This window comes from Homo sapiens, chromosome 2 (genome assembly GCF_000001405.40).
Source record: "Homo sapiens chromosome 2, GRCh38.p14 Primary Assembly".
Taxonomy (NCBI): Eukaryota; Metazoa; Chordata; class Mammalia; order Primates; family Hominidae; genus Homo; species Homo sapiens.
The window spans coordinates 118,950,474-118,965,956 of NC_000002.12; the positions used below are offsets into that span (position 1 = coordinate 118,950,474).

A 15,483-nucleotide genomic window follows, 5' to 3' on the forward strand; every position below is an offset into this window, starting at 1 on the left:
AATGTAGGTAGAAATCCACATTCTTATGCCTCCTTATAATCCTTTTACCAAAAGTTTATTTTGCTTTCCTTACATACCTTGCATATAAACTGTTTCTTCAATAGTTTTACATTCAGGAGGCCTAATTACTTTTAAGTTATACAACATTTCTTGCATAAATTCCCTTTTATAATTTTGTTTTTCACAACTTTTACAGACAATTCTTCGACATGCCTCAACTTTCTGAGTTGTTGCTAACATCGCTTTCTTTAAACAACCAGTTAATTTATTTTAGGACAAGAATTTACCATATAACATTCCTTTTTACATAAATTCTCCCCTCCCCCCTTTTTTTTTCCTCAAAGATGATAGCCATTCTTTTCCAAAGTGAACTTCCTTCATGTCTGTGGACTGGACTGTTAAAGGCCACAAGATTAGAAGTTAGGATAATACATATGACACTGTTAATATTTAGCAAATTTTACTTTTGTTGAAAACCTTGTAAGTTTGGGATTTCAATTATCCTTTGCTATTAATAAGACCTAATTTAGTCCAAATTTAACTTAGAATTGCTATAGATGACTCCTTCCTGAATCTGTAAGTATTTTAAGGCTTGGCTGAGTGCAAACAGCTCCCACCTTTGAGCAGACCAATTATTAGGCAATTTTCCTAACTCTGCTTCTACAAGAGTTTCCTTATCACTTACTGAATACCCATTGTGTCCTTTTCTCTCAATCACCTGGGAGGAACCATCTATCATCCTGTCACCAAGGAGGAACCGTCAATCATCCTGTCCTGAAGGGAGTTCCTCCTAGGTCTGGTGGGACCTTTCTATGGTAACTAAGATTTAGATCCCCGTTAGGAAACCTACTGAGTTAAGGGAATTTTCAGTGGCTAACGTTAAATCACTTTTTCTAACAGAATAGCCGCATACCTTAAGGTTCTTGAGTCAGTGAGCTACCTTTTAGCTTTTGGGTTTTGTTGTTTGTTTGTTTGACTTAGGTTAGTTCTGGCCTGATGAGGTGTGCTCACAATGAGGTTTCCTCTAAAAGTTATTTTTCTACTTTGCTCTCTTAGCAAAGCAGTTGCTGCTACAGATTGAATGCATTTGGGCCATCTACGGGTTACTGGGTTAAGGATTTTTTATTAGAAAGGCTTCAGGTTGTCAGTGGCCTCAGTGCTTTCGGGCTACGCCCCTGTTTACACTGACAACAAGGTGGTATTGGAGTGTTATAGGGTCATGAAGAAGACTTTCAATTATCAATTACAAGTTTTAAATTTACCCTGGCTTTTAAATGACTAGGGTACAGTTTTCTCTTTACTACTTCCATCTCTCTCTTTCTCTCTCTTCCTTGACTCTGTCTCTCTCTCTCTTTTACTACCTCTTTATCTCTCTGTCTCTTTCTCTCACTCTCTGATTCTCCATCTCTCTCTCTCTCTTTCTTCCTCTTTCTCTTTGACTCCCTCTTTGTCTCTCCGCCTCTCTCTCTTTCTCTCCCTTATTTCCTCTCCCAGTTTCTCTCTCCTCTCTGCTGGTCTTTCCCTGCCTCTGCCAGCCACTTATGTTGCTGCTCTCCCTTCTCCTTCCCCTTCCCCTAGGGGAGCAACCAGCAGGAGTGGAGCTTAGCCTCTTTCTTACCCCTTTCTTACCTCTTTCAGGGGAGTTCTGAATATTTTTCTTACTACCGGAGGTTTGTGTGAGGTTCAACCACCTGAAATTTGCAGAAGGTTCAACCCCTCAAACCAGGGATGTCTTGCCTTGCCTGTCCTGGAAGGCTCAACCCCTCAAACCAGTGGGTGTCTTGCCTTGCCTGCCCTGGGAGGTTGACCTGGTTTCTCCCTTCCCCTCTCTGAAGGTCCCTTGCACACTTCCCACTTGTGTTGTCCTCTCTGGCCGCTCCCCCAAGGGAGAATTAGGCCCCTTTTAGTGTTGGCGTGCAGGTATAAATCCCATGGCAGGATCCGCCCTAAGCCATATGAGGTAGCTATGGAACCGCAGAGAGGACCCACTCACTCCATCCAGCAGTAGGACTTGTCACCATCCACACAAACAACACCGCAAGCAGGGTTATCTGTGATCATTCACGCACATGTACATTTAGCCCTCCAGAATTTCATGACCAAGGAAGTACTTTACCGGCTCCTGTGGCTTTGCCTTCCTTGGTCTGTGCACAAAGTCATCGCTGCAGTATGTGAGGATCCTTTAAGCTAGGTTGCTGGCCAGTTTCTTTCTGCATTGCTGAGAGCTCGGGTTATTCCTCGCACCAGGTGGGTCTTGGTCCCTTACCCCTGAGGCCACCGCAAGAGGTGGTGTGGTGCCTCCTCATGAAAGAGGACTAGAGATGCCCCCGGAGGAGAATGTATCCCCATACGATTGCCACCAAAATTGTTAGAAATATCAAAATTGTTAGAAATACATCATTGGTGCCACAAAGGAAAGTCAGCACAGAGACAAAAGATCTCTCAGCAAGGCCATCTTTACTTTCTGCAGAAAGGGTGCTCAATTGCAGATGGAACAATGGCAGGAGAACACTTGAACAAAGGAAAAGCAGACATATTTATCCCTTACACATTTGGGTTGTCCTTGCTGCGTGTCCTATGTCCGTTGGCTGGAGCAGGACCTCACAATCTTAAACTGATATCCGATTTGCTAATAGCCTACAACTTTCCTAAATAGGTAAGTACAGGGAAGAGCAAAGAAGTTGGTTACAAAAGTTTTAAGGAAACAATAACATTTCCAAATAAGGAAGGGGCATAGGCTGTGAGCTGGAACGGGCCTGTGAGCACATTCAACAGTTACATAGGCTAGGGCTTAACAAAGAGTTATTAACACAAAGCAAGGAGGCTTGAAGAAAGTTAGTCCTCAAAAGAAACCATCATTTCCAACACACAATTTATTCTTCAACAAGAAGGAAAACTTTGAAGAGGAAACTTTTTACTTTCTACATTTGGTGTGATTGTCAGTTCTATTATGCTTTTAATTTGGTTTCCATTTATTGTTAGTATATAGAAATGTGGTTGATTTTTGTGTGTTCATCTTGTGTCTTCCAACTATGTGAATTTATTTATTCATTCGAAAAGTTTTCTGGAGGTGGGGGGAACGATGGTGGATGAGAGGCGGGACTAGATTTCTGCTCCAGACAGAGCAGCATGCAGAGGCTTGCATTGTGAATTTTAGCTCCATATCAACTGCAAGAACAAACCAGCAATCCTGAGAGGATCCACAGACCCTCTGAAGGAAGTGGACTGCTCCTGAAGGACCCAGTAGACACCCCAAATACTGCGAGTGCCCCAGCCGTGTAAGTGGAAAAGGGAGACCCTCGTCTCCTGAACACACACCCTCACTGGAGAAGATGAAGGTCTGTTTGCAGGAGAAGTTTCTGACTTTACCTGGAGCTGATCAAGTTAGAGAGCTGAGCCAAGTGAAATACAGGGGTGGGGGAAGCAGCAGAAAGGCCCTGGGAGCTTGCTGGGTCCCCAAGCAGCCCACTCCTGGCTGGCACCACAGGAATCCATCAGGAAGGTGGCCAGAGGAGCAGGGGCAAAACTCCACAGGGAGAAAGGATTCTCTAGCTGAACTTTGTAACAATTTGAACAGGGTGAGAAGCCTCCTGACCAGAACTCAGGGGAGGGTGCGAATCCAGCTTGCAGACTTCACAGGCAGGAGAAGATCTAAAGCCCTTGTCTTTGGCAGCTGGGAGGCAGAGAAAGCCTCAGGCAAGTTTTCAAGGCTGTCTCCCCCTCCCCCTGGAAACACACTTGGGGCTGTTGCTGGGGGCACAGTGGGAGTAAGACTGGCCCTTTGGTTTGTGTGGGAGCTGGGTGAGGCCTGTGACTGCCAGCTTTCCCCCACTTCCCTGACAACCTGCATGACTCAGCAGAGGCAGCCATAATCCTTCTAGGTACACAACTCCAGTGACCTGGGAATCTCACCCCTATCCCCCACGGCAGCTGCAGCAAGACCTGCCGAAGGAGACTCTGAGATCATACATGCCTAGTCCCACCCCTGGACCTGATGGTCCTTCCCTACCTGCCCTGGTGGCAGAAGACAAAAGACATGTGATATTGGGAGTTCTAGGGCCACACCCACTGCCAGTCCCCCTCCACACTACTACAGCTGATGCTTTCTGGAAATTGCTACCTCCTGGCAGGCCAACCAGCACAAAAATAGAGCATTAAACCACCAAAGCTAAGGACCCTCACAGAGTCCACTGCACCCTCTGCTGCGTCCGCTGGAACAGGTGCTGGTATCCACAGCTAAGAGGCCGTTAGTTGGTTCACATGAGAGGACTTTGTGCAGACAACCCCCAGTACCAGCCTGGAGCTGGGTAAAGTTGCTGGGTGACTAGACCCAGAAGAGAGACAAAAATCACTGCAGTTTGACTCACAGGAAGCCACATCCACAGGAAAACAGGAAGAATACTACATCAAGGGAACACCCCGTGGGACAAAAAAATCTGAACAGCAATCTTCAGCCCTAGACTTCCCTCTAACAGAACCTACCCAAATGAGAAGGAACTAGAAAACCAACCCTGGTAATATGACGAAACAAGGCTCATCAACACCACACCCTCAACCCCCGCCCTGCCAAAAATAGAAAAAAAAAAAATCACACTAGTTCACCAGCAATGGATCCAAGCCAAGAAGAAATCCCTGATTTACCTGAAAAAAAATTCAGGAGGTTAGTTATTAAGTTAATCAGGGAGGGACCAGGGAAAGGTGAAGCCCAATGCAAGGAAATCTAAAAAATTATATGAGAAGTGAAGGGAGAAATACTCAAGAAAATAGATAGTTTAAATAAAAAAACAATAAAAATTCAGGAAACTTTGGACACACTTTTAGAGATGTGAAATGCTCTGGAAAGTCTCAGTGATAGAATTGGATAAGTAGAAGAAAGAAATGCAGAGCTCAAAGACAAGGTCTTTGAATTAACCCAATCCAACAAAGACAAAGAAAAAAGAGTAAAAAAATATGAACAAACCTCCAAGAAGTCTGGAATTATGGTAAACAACCACACCTAAGAATAATTGATGTTCCTGAGGAAAAAGACAATTGTAAAAGCTTGGAAAACATACTTGGGGGAATAATCAAGGAAAACTTTCCTGGCCTTCCCAGAGACTTAGACATGGAAACACAAGAAGCACAAAGAAGACCTGGGAAATTCGTTGCAAAAAGATCTTCCCCTAGACACATTGTCATCAGGTTATCTAAAGTTAAGATGAAGGAAAGAGTCTTAAGAGCTGTGAGACAGAAGCACAAGGTAACCTATAAAGGAAAACCTATCAGATTAACAGCAGATTTCTCAGCAGAAACCCTACAAGCTAGAAGGGATTGGGGCCCTATCTTCTGCCTCCTCAAGCAAAACAATTATCAGCCAAGAATTTTGTATCCAGCAAAACTAAGCATCATATATGAAGGAAAGACACAGTCATTTTCTGCCAAGCAAATGCTGAGATAATTCACCATGGCCAAGCCACCACAACAAGAACTGCTAAAAACTTGAACTGTTTAAATCTGTTTAAATCTTGAAACAAATCCCAGAAATACATCAAAACAGAATCTCTTTAAGTCATATATCACACAGGACCTATAAAACAAAAATATAAGTTAAAAAGCAAAATCAAAAAACCAAAATGAAACAAAGTACAGGCAACAAAAAGCATGATGAATGCAATGGTACCTCACATTTCAATACTAGCATTAAATATAAATGGCCTAAATGCTCCACTTAAAAGATACAGAACTGCAGAATGGATAAGAACTCAACAACCAACTACCTGCTAACTTCAGGAGACTCACCTAACACATAAGGACTCACATAAACTTAAAATAAAGGGGTGGAGAAAGGCATTTCATGCAAATGGACACCAAAAGTGAGCAGGGGTAGATATTCTTATATCAGACAAAACAATCTTTAAAGTAACAGAGGTTAAAAGAGACAAAAAGGGACATTATGTAATGGTAAAAGTCCTTGTCCAACAGGAAGATATCACAATCCCAAACATTTATGCACCTAACACTGGAGCTCTCAAATTTATAAAACAATTACTAATAGACCTAAGAAATGAGATAGACAGCAACACAATAATAGTGAGGTACTTCAATACTCCACTGACAGCACAGGAGGGTCATCAAGACAGAAAGTCAACAAAGAAACAATGGATTTAAACTATACCTTTGAGCAAATGGACTTAGCAGATATATACAGAACATTTCATCCAACAACCAAAGAATACACATTCTATTCAACAGTGCATGGAACTTTCTCCAAGAGAGACCATATGATAGGCCATAAAATGACCCTCAATAAATTTAAGAAAATTGAAATTATATCAAGCATTCTCTCAGACCACAGTGGAATAAAACTGGAAATCAATTCCAAAAGGAACCTTCAAAGCCATGCAAATACATGGAAATTAAATAACCTGCTACTGAATGAGGATTGGGTCAAAAATGATATCAAGATGGAAATTTAAAAATTCTTTGAACTGAATGACAATAATGACACAACCTATCAAAACCTCTAGGATACAGCTAAGGTGTTGCTAAGAGGAAAGTTCATACTCCTAAAGATCTACATCAAAAAGTCTGAAAGAGCACAGACAATCTAAGGTCACACCTCAAGGAACTAGAGAAACAAGAACAAACCAAACGCAAACCCAGCAGAAGAAAGGAAGTAACCAAGATCAGAGCAGAACTAAATAAAATTGAAACAAAAAAATACAAAAGATAAATGAAACAAAAAGCTGGTTCTTTAAAATATAAACAAAATTGATAGACCGTTAACAAGATAAACGAAGGAAAGAAGAGAGAAAAACCAAATAACCTCACTAAGAAATAAAACAGGATATATTACAACTGACACCATTGAAATACAAAAGATCATTCAAGGCTACTATGAATAATACCTTTACTCACATAAACTAGAAAACCTAGAAGAGATGGATAAATTCCTGGAAAAATACAACGTTCCTAGCTTAAATCAGGAAGAATTAGATACCCTGAACAGACCAATAGCAAGCAGCGAGATTGTTTGGTAATTTAAAAATTACCCCCCAAAAACAAACAAACAAACAAACAGTCCAGGACCAGACAGATTCACAGCAGAATTCTATCAGACATTAAAAGAAGAATACTAAGGTACCAATCCTTTTGACACTATTCCACAAGACAGAGAAAGAAGGAACCCTCCCTAATTCATTCTATGAAGCCTTCATTACCCTAACACCAAAACCAGGAAAGGACACAACCAAAAAAGAAAACTACAGACCAGTATCCTTGATGAACATAGATGTGAAAATCCTTAACAAAATACTAGTTATGGTGGATATCATAAAGATAATCCACCATGGATCAAGTGGGTTTCATAGCAGGGGTGCAGGGATGGTTTAACATTCCCAGGTCAATAAATTTGATACACCACATAAACAGAATTAAAAACAAAAATCACATGATCATTTCAATAGATGCAGAAAAAGCATTCAATAAAATCCAGCATCCCTTTATGATTAAAACCCTCAGTAAAATCAGCATACAAGGGATATACCTTAATGTAATAAAGGCCATCTATGACAAACCCACAGACAACATAATACTGAATGGGGAAAAATTGAAAGCATTCCCTCTGAGAACGGGAACAAGATAAGGATGCTCACTCTCACCACTCCTCTTCAACATAGTGCTGAAAGTCCTAGCCAGAGCAATCAGACAAGATTAAAAAAAAAGGGCATCCAAATTGGTAAAGAGGAAATCAAACTGTCCCTTTTTGCTGATGATATGACTGCTTACTTTGAAAACCTTAAGGGCTCCTCCAGAAAGCTCCTAGAACTGATAAAAGAATTCAGCAAAGTTTCTGGATACAAGATTAATGTATGCAAATCAATAGCTCTTCCTTACACCAACAGTGACCAATCAGAGAATCAAATCAGGAACTCAATCACTTTTGCAATAGCTGCAAAAAAAAAAAAAAATACAATACTTAGGAAGATACCTAACAAAGGAGTCAAAAGACCTCTTCAAAGAAAATTACAAAACACTGCTGAAAGAATCATAGATGACACAAACAAATGGAAACACATCCCATGCTCATGGATGGGTAGAAACAATAATGTGAAAATAATCGTACTGCCAAAAGCAATCTACAAATTCGATGCAATCCCCATCAAAATACCACCATCATTCTTCACAGAGTTAGAAAAAACAATTCTAAAATTCATATGGAACCAAAAAAGAGAAGGCATAGCCAAAACAAGACTAAGCAAAAAGAACAAATTTGGAGGCATCACACTATCTGATTTCAAACTATACTATAAGGCCACAGTCACCAAAACAGTGTGGTACCAGTATAAAAAATAGCACATAGACCAATGGAAAAGAACAGAGAACCCAGAAATAAACCCAAATACTTAAAGCAAACAAAAATATAAAGTGGGGAAAGGACACCCTTTTCAACAAATGGTGCTGGGATAATTGGCTAGCCACATATAGGAGAATGAAACTTGATCCTCCTCTCTCACCTTGTACAAAAATCAACTCAAGATGGATTAAGGACTTAAACCAAAGACCTGAAACTGTAAACATTATAGAAGATAACATTGGGAAAACCCTTCTAGACATTGGCTTAAGCAAAGATTTCATGACCAAGAACCCAAAAGTAAATGCAATAAAAACAAAGATAAATAGCTGGGACCTAATTAAACTAAAGAGCTTTTGCACGGCAAAAGGAACAGTCAGCAGAGTAAACAGACAACCCACAGAGTGGGAGAAAATCTTCACAAATCTATACATCGGACAAAGGATTAATGTCCAGAATCTACAACAAACTCAAACAAATCAGTAAGAAAAAAAATTCCATCAAAAAGTGGGCTAAGGATATGAAAAAACAATTCTCAAAAGAAGATGTACAAATGGCCAAGTGACATGTGAAAAAATGCTCAACATCACTAATGATCAGGGAAATGCAAATCAAAACCACAGTGTGATACTACCTTACTCCTGCAAGAATGGCCATAATAAAAAAAATCAAAAAAACCACAGATGTTGGCATGGATGTGGTGATCAGGGAACACTTCTACACTGCTGGTAGGAATGTAAACTAGGACAGCTGCTATGGAAAACAGTGTGGAGATTCCTTAAAGAAGTAAAAGTAGAAATACCATTTGATCCAGCAATCCTACTACTGGGTATCTACCCAGAGGAAAAGAAGTCACTGTTTGAAAAAGATACTTGCACATGCATGTTTATAGCAGCACAATTCACAATTGCAAAATCATGGAACCCCAACAAGTGGATAAAGAAACTGTGGTGTATATATGATGGAATACTACTCAGCCATAAAAAGGAATGAATTAACAGCATTTTCAGTGACCTGGATGAGATTGGAGACTATTATTCTAAGTGAAGTAACTCAGGAATGGAAAACGAAACATCATATGTTATCACTGATATGAGGGAGCTAAGCCATGAAGGCATAAGAATGATATAGTGGACTTTGGGGACTTGGAGGGAAGAGTGGGAGGGTGGTGACGGATAAAAGACTACAAATACAGGGCAATGTATACTGCTTGGGTGATGGGTGCACCAAAATCTCACATATCACCACTAAACAACTTCCTCATGTAACCAAATACAACCTATACCCCAATAACTTATGGAAAAATAAAATAAAATAATAATAATAATAATAAATAAAAATAAAACTTTTTTTGTAGATTTTGTGGAATGGTTTATGTAGATGGTCATGTACTCTACAAATAAGAACATTTTAATTTCTTTCTTTCCAAACTGTATGCCTTTTATTTCTTTTTCTTGCCTTACTGCTCTGGCTAGAACTTCCCAGTGCTATGTTGAATAAGAAGGCAAGAACATATATCCTTGCCTTGTTTCGAATCTTAAGGGAAAAGTGTCCTGTCTTTCACCATTAAGTATGATGTTAGCTTTAGATAGTTTGTAGATGCAGTTTTTTAAGTTGAGGAAGTTCTCCTCTATTTCTAGTTTGCTAAGAATTTTTATTGTGAGTTTATTATTTGTTATGAGTCATAGTTTTGAATTATAATGATGAGAGTTTTACTATGAATTGGATTTTGGCAAGTGCTTTTTCTGCACTAATTTTATGGTTTTTCTTCTTTAGCTTGCTGATCTGGTGGAATATATTGATTAAGTTTAAAACATTGAACCATCCTTGCATATCTGGAATAAATCCCACTTTGTTGTGGCATATAATTTTTTAAATATATTGCTTGATATTATTTACTAACTTTTTTATGCAAGTTTTTTTTGAAATTTTTATTTCTATTTTAAGTTCCAGAGTACATGTGCAGAATGTGCAGGTTTGTTACACAGGTAAATGTATGCCATGGTGGTTTGCTGCACCCGTCAACCCATCACCTAGATATTAAGCTCAGAATGCATGAGCTATTATTCCTAATGCTCTCCCTATACCCCCACCCCCTGACTGGCCCCAGTGTGTGTTGTTCCCCTCCTTGTGTCCACGTGTTCTCATTGTTCAGCTCCCACATATAAGTGAGAACATGCAGTGTTTGGTTTTCTGTTCCTACATTAGTTTTCTGAGGATAATGGCTTCCAGCTCCATCCATGTCACTGCAAAGGACACGATCTCATTCCTTTTCATGGCTGCACAGTATTCCCTGGAGTAAATGTACCACATTTTCTTTATCCAGTCTATCATTGATGGACGTTTGGGTTGATTCCATGTCTTTGTTATTGTGAAGAGTGCTGCAATGAACATACATGTGCCATATATCTTTATAATAGAATGGTTTGTAATAGGATTGCTGGGTCAAATGGTATTTCTGGTTCTAGATCTTTGAGGAAACACCACACTGTCTTCCACAATGGTTGAACTAATTTACATTCCCACCAACAGTGTAAAAGTGTTCCTATTTCTCTGGAACCTCACCAGCATCTGCTGTTTCTTGACTTTTTAATAATCCCCATTCTGACTGATGTGAGATGGTATCTCATTGTGGTTTTGATTTTCATTTCTCTAATGATCAGTGATGTTGAACTTTCTTTTCTTGCGTATGTTGGCTACATGAATGTCTTCTTTTGAGAAGTGTCTGTTCATGTCCCTTATTCACTTTTTAATGAGGTTGTTTTTTTTTCTTGTAAATTTGTTCAAGTTCCTTGCAGATTCTGAATATTAGACCTTTGTCAGATGGATAGATCGCAAAAAATTTTCTCTCACTCTGTAGGTTGCCTGTTCACTCTGATGATAGTGTCTTTTGCTGTGCAAAAGCTCTTTAGTTTAATTAGATCCCATTTGTCAATTTTTGCTTTTGTTGCAGTTGCTTTTGGCAATTTCCTCATGAAATCTTTGCCCATGCCTATGTCCTGAATGGTATTGCCTAGATTTTCTTCCAGGGTTTTTATAGTTTTGGGTTTTACATTTAAGTCTTTAATCCATCTTGAGTTAATTTTTGTATAAGATGTAAGAAAGGGATCCAGTTTCAGTTTTCTGCATATGGCTAGCCAGTTTTCCCAGAACCATTTATTGAATAGGAGATCCTTTCCCCATTGCTTGTTTTTGTCAGGTTTGTTGAAGATCAGATGCTCGTAGACGTGCGGTCTTATTGCTGAGTTGTCTATTCTGTTCCATTAGTCTATGTGTCTGTTTTTGTACCAGTACTATGCTGTTTTGGTTACTGTAGACTTGTAGAATAGTTTGAAGTCTGGTAGTGTGATGCCTCCAGCTCTGTTCTTTTTGCTTAGGATTTTCTTGGATATACAAGCTCTTTTTTGGTTCTGTATAATTTTGAGATAGTTTCTTCTAATTCTGTGAAGAATGTCAGTGGTAGTTTAATGGGAAATGTGTTGAATCTATAAATTACTTTGGGCAGTATGGTCATTTTCATGATGTTGATTCTTCCTATTTATGAGTATGAAATGTTTTTCCATTTGTTCACGTCCTCTCTGATTTCCTTGAGCAGCAGTTTGTAGTTCTCCTTGAAGAGGTCCTTCACGTCCTCTATTAACTGTATTCCTAGGTATTTTATTCTCTGTAGCAATTGTGAATGGAAGTTCATTCACAATTTTGTTCTCTGCTTGCCTTTTACTGAAGATTTTTGTGTCAAAGTTCATGAAATAGTTTTGTTTGTTTCTTTCTTTCTTTTTACTGGACTATCTTTGATTTTCATATTAGGATCATTCTGATCTCATAAAATGAATTAGAAAGTGTTTCTTCCTTTTCTGTAAGAGATTGTGTAAAACTGATGCTAACTCTTCTTTAAATGTTTATTACGATATGCTGGTAAAACTATCTGGGCCTGAATATTTCTTTTCTGGGAGCTTTTAAATTAAAATTTAGATTTATTTAATGATTATAGATATTCAGATTATCTATTTCACCTTGGCTGAGTTTTGGTAGTTTGTGGCTTTTCAGGAACTAGCCTATTTCCTTTAAATTGTGAGCATAAAGTTAGTGATAGTATTTTCTTATTTTCTTTTTAATGGCTGCAGGATCTGTAGTGATAGCACCTGTTTCATTTCTGATATTGGCTATCCGTGTCTTCTTTCATTTTTATTTTTGTTCAGTCTTGCTAGAGATTTGCCAATTTTATTGACTTTGTTCAAAGAGCTAGCTTTTGTTTCATTGATTTTTCTCTATCTTCCTATTTTAAATTTTATTTATTTATATTCTTATCTTTATTATTTCCTTTTCTGGTGATTAGGAGTTATTTTGTTCTTTTCTAATTTCTTGAGGAAAAAACTTAGTGTGTTGATTGGAGGCCTTTTTTATTTTTGGTGTAAGCAGTTCGTGCTATAAATTTTCTTTTCAGAGCTGCTTTTTTTTATCCCATAAATTTTAATATATTGTATTTTCATTTCCTTTCATTTGTATTTTTAAAATTTTTTTGATGCTTTCTTAATGACCCATGCATTATATAGAAGTCCTTTTTTAAATGTTCCAAATGTTTGGAGATTTTCCTGTTGCCTATCCATTGTTGATTTTTATTTTTATTGTATTATTGGCAAATAAGGTATTCTGTATGACCTTGGTTTTTTTTCATTTGGTTGAAATTTGTTTTATGACCTAGGATATCATCTATTTTGGTGTATGTTCCATGTGTCCTTGAAAAGGATGTACATTCTGCTGTTGCTACCTGGAGTATTCTGTGTGTTCATTAGATACTATCAGTCAGTAGTGCTAGTGTTTAGTTCTTCTGTAACTTTGCAGAGTTTCTATCAATTGCTGAAACTACGTGTTAAAGTCTCAACTATAATTGTGTATTGTCTATTTCTTTTTTCAGTTAAATCAGTTTTTGCTTCATGTATTTTGAAGTTCTATTGTTTGATTTCTTATTTATAGCACATTGTTGGATTATGTTTTTTAATACAGTTTGGCAATATCCGTCCTCTGATTTAGACCATTTATACCGAAAGTAATTATTGATATGTCAGTGCTTAAATTGGCCATCTTATTGTGTGTTTTCTGTTTTTTCTTTGTTTCCCATTCATGTATTTCTCTTTTCTTGCCTTCCTGTGGATTATTTGAATAATTTTTAGAATTCCATTTTGATTTATTTATAGTGTTTTTTATTGAATAGTTTTCTTAATGGTTTCTCTACTTATTGCAATATACATATGGAACTTATCGCAGCCTGGCTATTGCAATATACATACAGAACATATCAACATTTTACCATTTTGAGTCAAGTGTAGAAATCTTACTTTCATTTATGTTCTTTAGCCTTCTCCACTTTTTAAATATAATTGTCATTTTCTATTACATTCACTGAACACCACATCAGGTGGTATAATTTTTGTGTTAAAAATCAAATGTGATTTTTAAAACTCATGAGGAGAAGGATGCTGTAGTATATATCCCTATTTTTACTTGTTCTATTATTCTCTTTCTTTTTTGAAATTCTAGTTTACTATATCATTTCCTTTCTGTTAGGGGAACCTCCTCTAGTCATTCTTTAAAGTTAGTTCTGCCAGTAAAAGATTCTCTTCATTTCTCTTCCTCTGAGAGTGTCTTTATTTCTTGTCCATTCCCACAGTGTATTTTTATTGGCAATATAATTCCTGGTTGACAATTCTTCTTTTTCAGAACACAAAATAAGCTGTACCACTTACATCTGTTCTCCATAGTTTCTGATGAGAAACTTTCTGTCATTCAAATTGGTATTCCTGGCCAGGCACAGTGGCTCATGCCTGTAATCCCAGCATTTTGGGAGGCTGAGGTGGGCGGATCTCTTGAGGTCAGGAATTCAAGACCAGCCTGGACATCATAGTGAAACCCTGTCTCTACTAAAAATATAAAAATTAGCCGGGCATGGTGGCGTGCACCTGTAATCACAACTACTTGGGAGGCTGAGGCACAAGAATCACCTGAACCCAGGAGATGGAGGTTGAAGCGAGCAGAGATCATGCCAGTACACTCCAGCCTGGGCGACAGAGTGAGATACCATCTCAAAAAAAAAAAAAAAAGTATTCCTTTATAAGTAATGTGCCATTTGTCTCTGGCTGCTTTCTAGATTTTTCCTTTTTCCTTAGATGTTTAATTTTCTCTGCCTTTTTATGTTTTCAATGTTTTAGTTATGATGTGTCTTGATATGGATTTCTTTGAGTTTATCATGTTTGCGATTTTGGCAGTTTCTTTAATCTGTAGGTTTAGATCTTCCACGAAATTAGGGAAATTTTTAGCCATTATTTCTTTGAATATTTTTTAAGCCTCACACTTTTTCTAGGAATTAAATGATATGAATTGTAGGTGTTTTGTTACTGGCCCACAGGTCTCTGAGGCTCTGTTCATGTGTGTTTGTTTGTTTTCCCAGCTGATTTTCTGTTTTTCAGACGTGTAATTTCTATTGTTCTATCATCGAGTTAACTGATTCTTTCCTCTGTCACATCTATTACACTATTCAGCTCATCTACCAAGTCTTTTTTCTTTCATTGGTATTTTTTTAGTTCTATAGTTTCCATTTGGTTCTTTTTTTATATGTTGTACTATTTTGGTGAGCTTTTAAAAAATTTGTTTCAAGAATAGTTTTAATTGCTCACTAAGGCATTTTGTTACAGCTGCTTTAAAATTCTTGTGGAATAGTTTTAACATCTGTGTCATCTCAATGCTGGTATCTCTTGATTGTCTCCTCTCATCTGAGTTGTGATTTTCTCTATTCTTTGTATGATGGGTGATTTTCCATTATATAATGGATGTTTTGTATAGTATGTTAGGAGATTCTGAGTCCTATTTAAAACTTCTATTTTAGTAGACAGTCACAGAGTCACACAGTTTAGGTTTATTATGTAGGTTCTGGCCTACTTGTGTGGGCTATGGTACAATGACAATTTAGTTTTCAGAGCCCTGTCCACGTTATTTTGATCCACTTTGTTTACCTGGTGCCATTAGTTCTTGCTGGTCCCCTGCTGGTCCTTCCTGCAAGGCAGAAGGCACGTTCCAGTACTGCCTGGTGCTATCAGGTAGGAAGTGAGATACATCAGGCCCAAAGGGAAGACATTACTTCTCTGGGTCTGCTCACC

General features: G+C 38.1%; 1 protein-coding gene across 4 annotated transcripts in view, besides 1 other annotated feature; it reads left to right on the forward strand.

The window, feature by feature from the left end:
* The window catches only part of MARCO (macrophage receptor with collagenous structure), a 52,467-nt gene that overhangs the window by 8,280 nt on the left and 28,704 nt on the right, over positions 1–15,483 (forward strand). The gene's annotated exons all lie outside the window — the stretch shown is intronic.
* Positions 3,419–4,618: an enhancer, noted in NCBI's record as "CDK7 strongly-dependent group 2 enhancer chr2:119711468-119712667 (GRCh37/hg19 assembly coordinates)". NCBI's record gives its function as "activates an origin of replication core promoter dependent on BRD2, BRD4, P300/CBP, MED14 and CDK7 cofactors, with strong dependence on CDK7, by STARR-seq in HCT116 cells {active_cell/tissue: HCT116}" and the evidence as "EXISTENCE:reporter gene assay evidence [ECO:0000049][PMID:35650434]".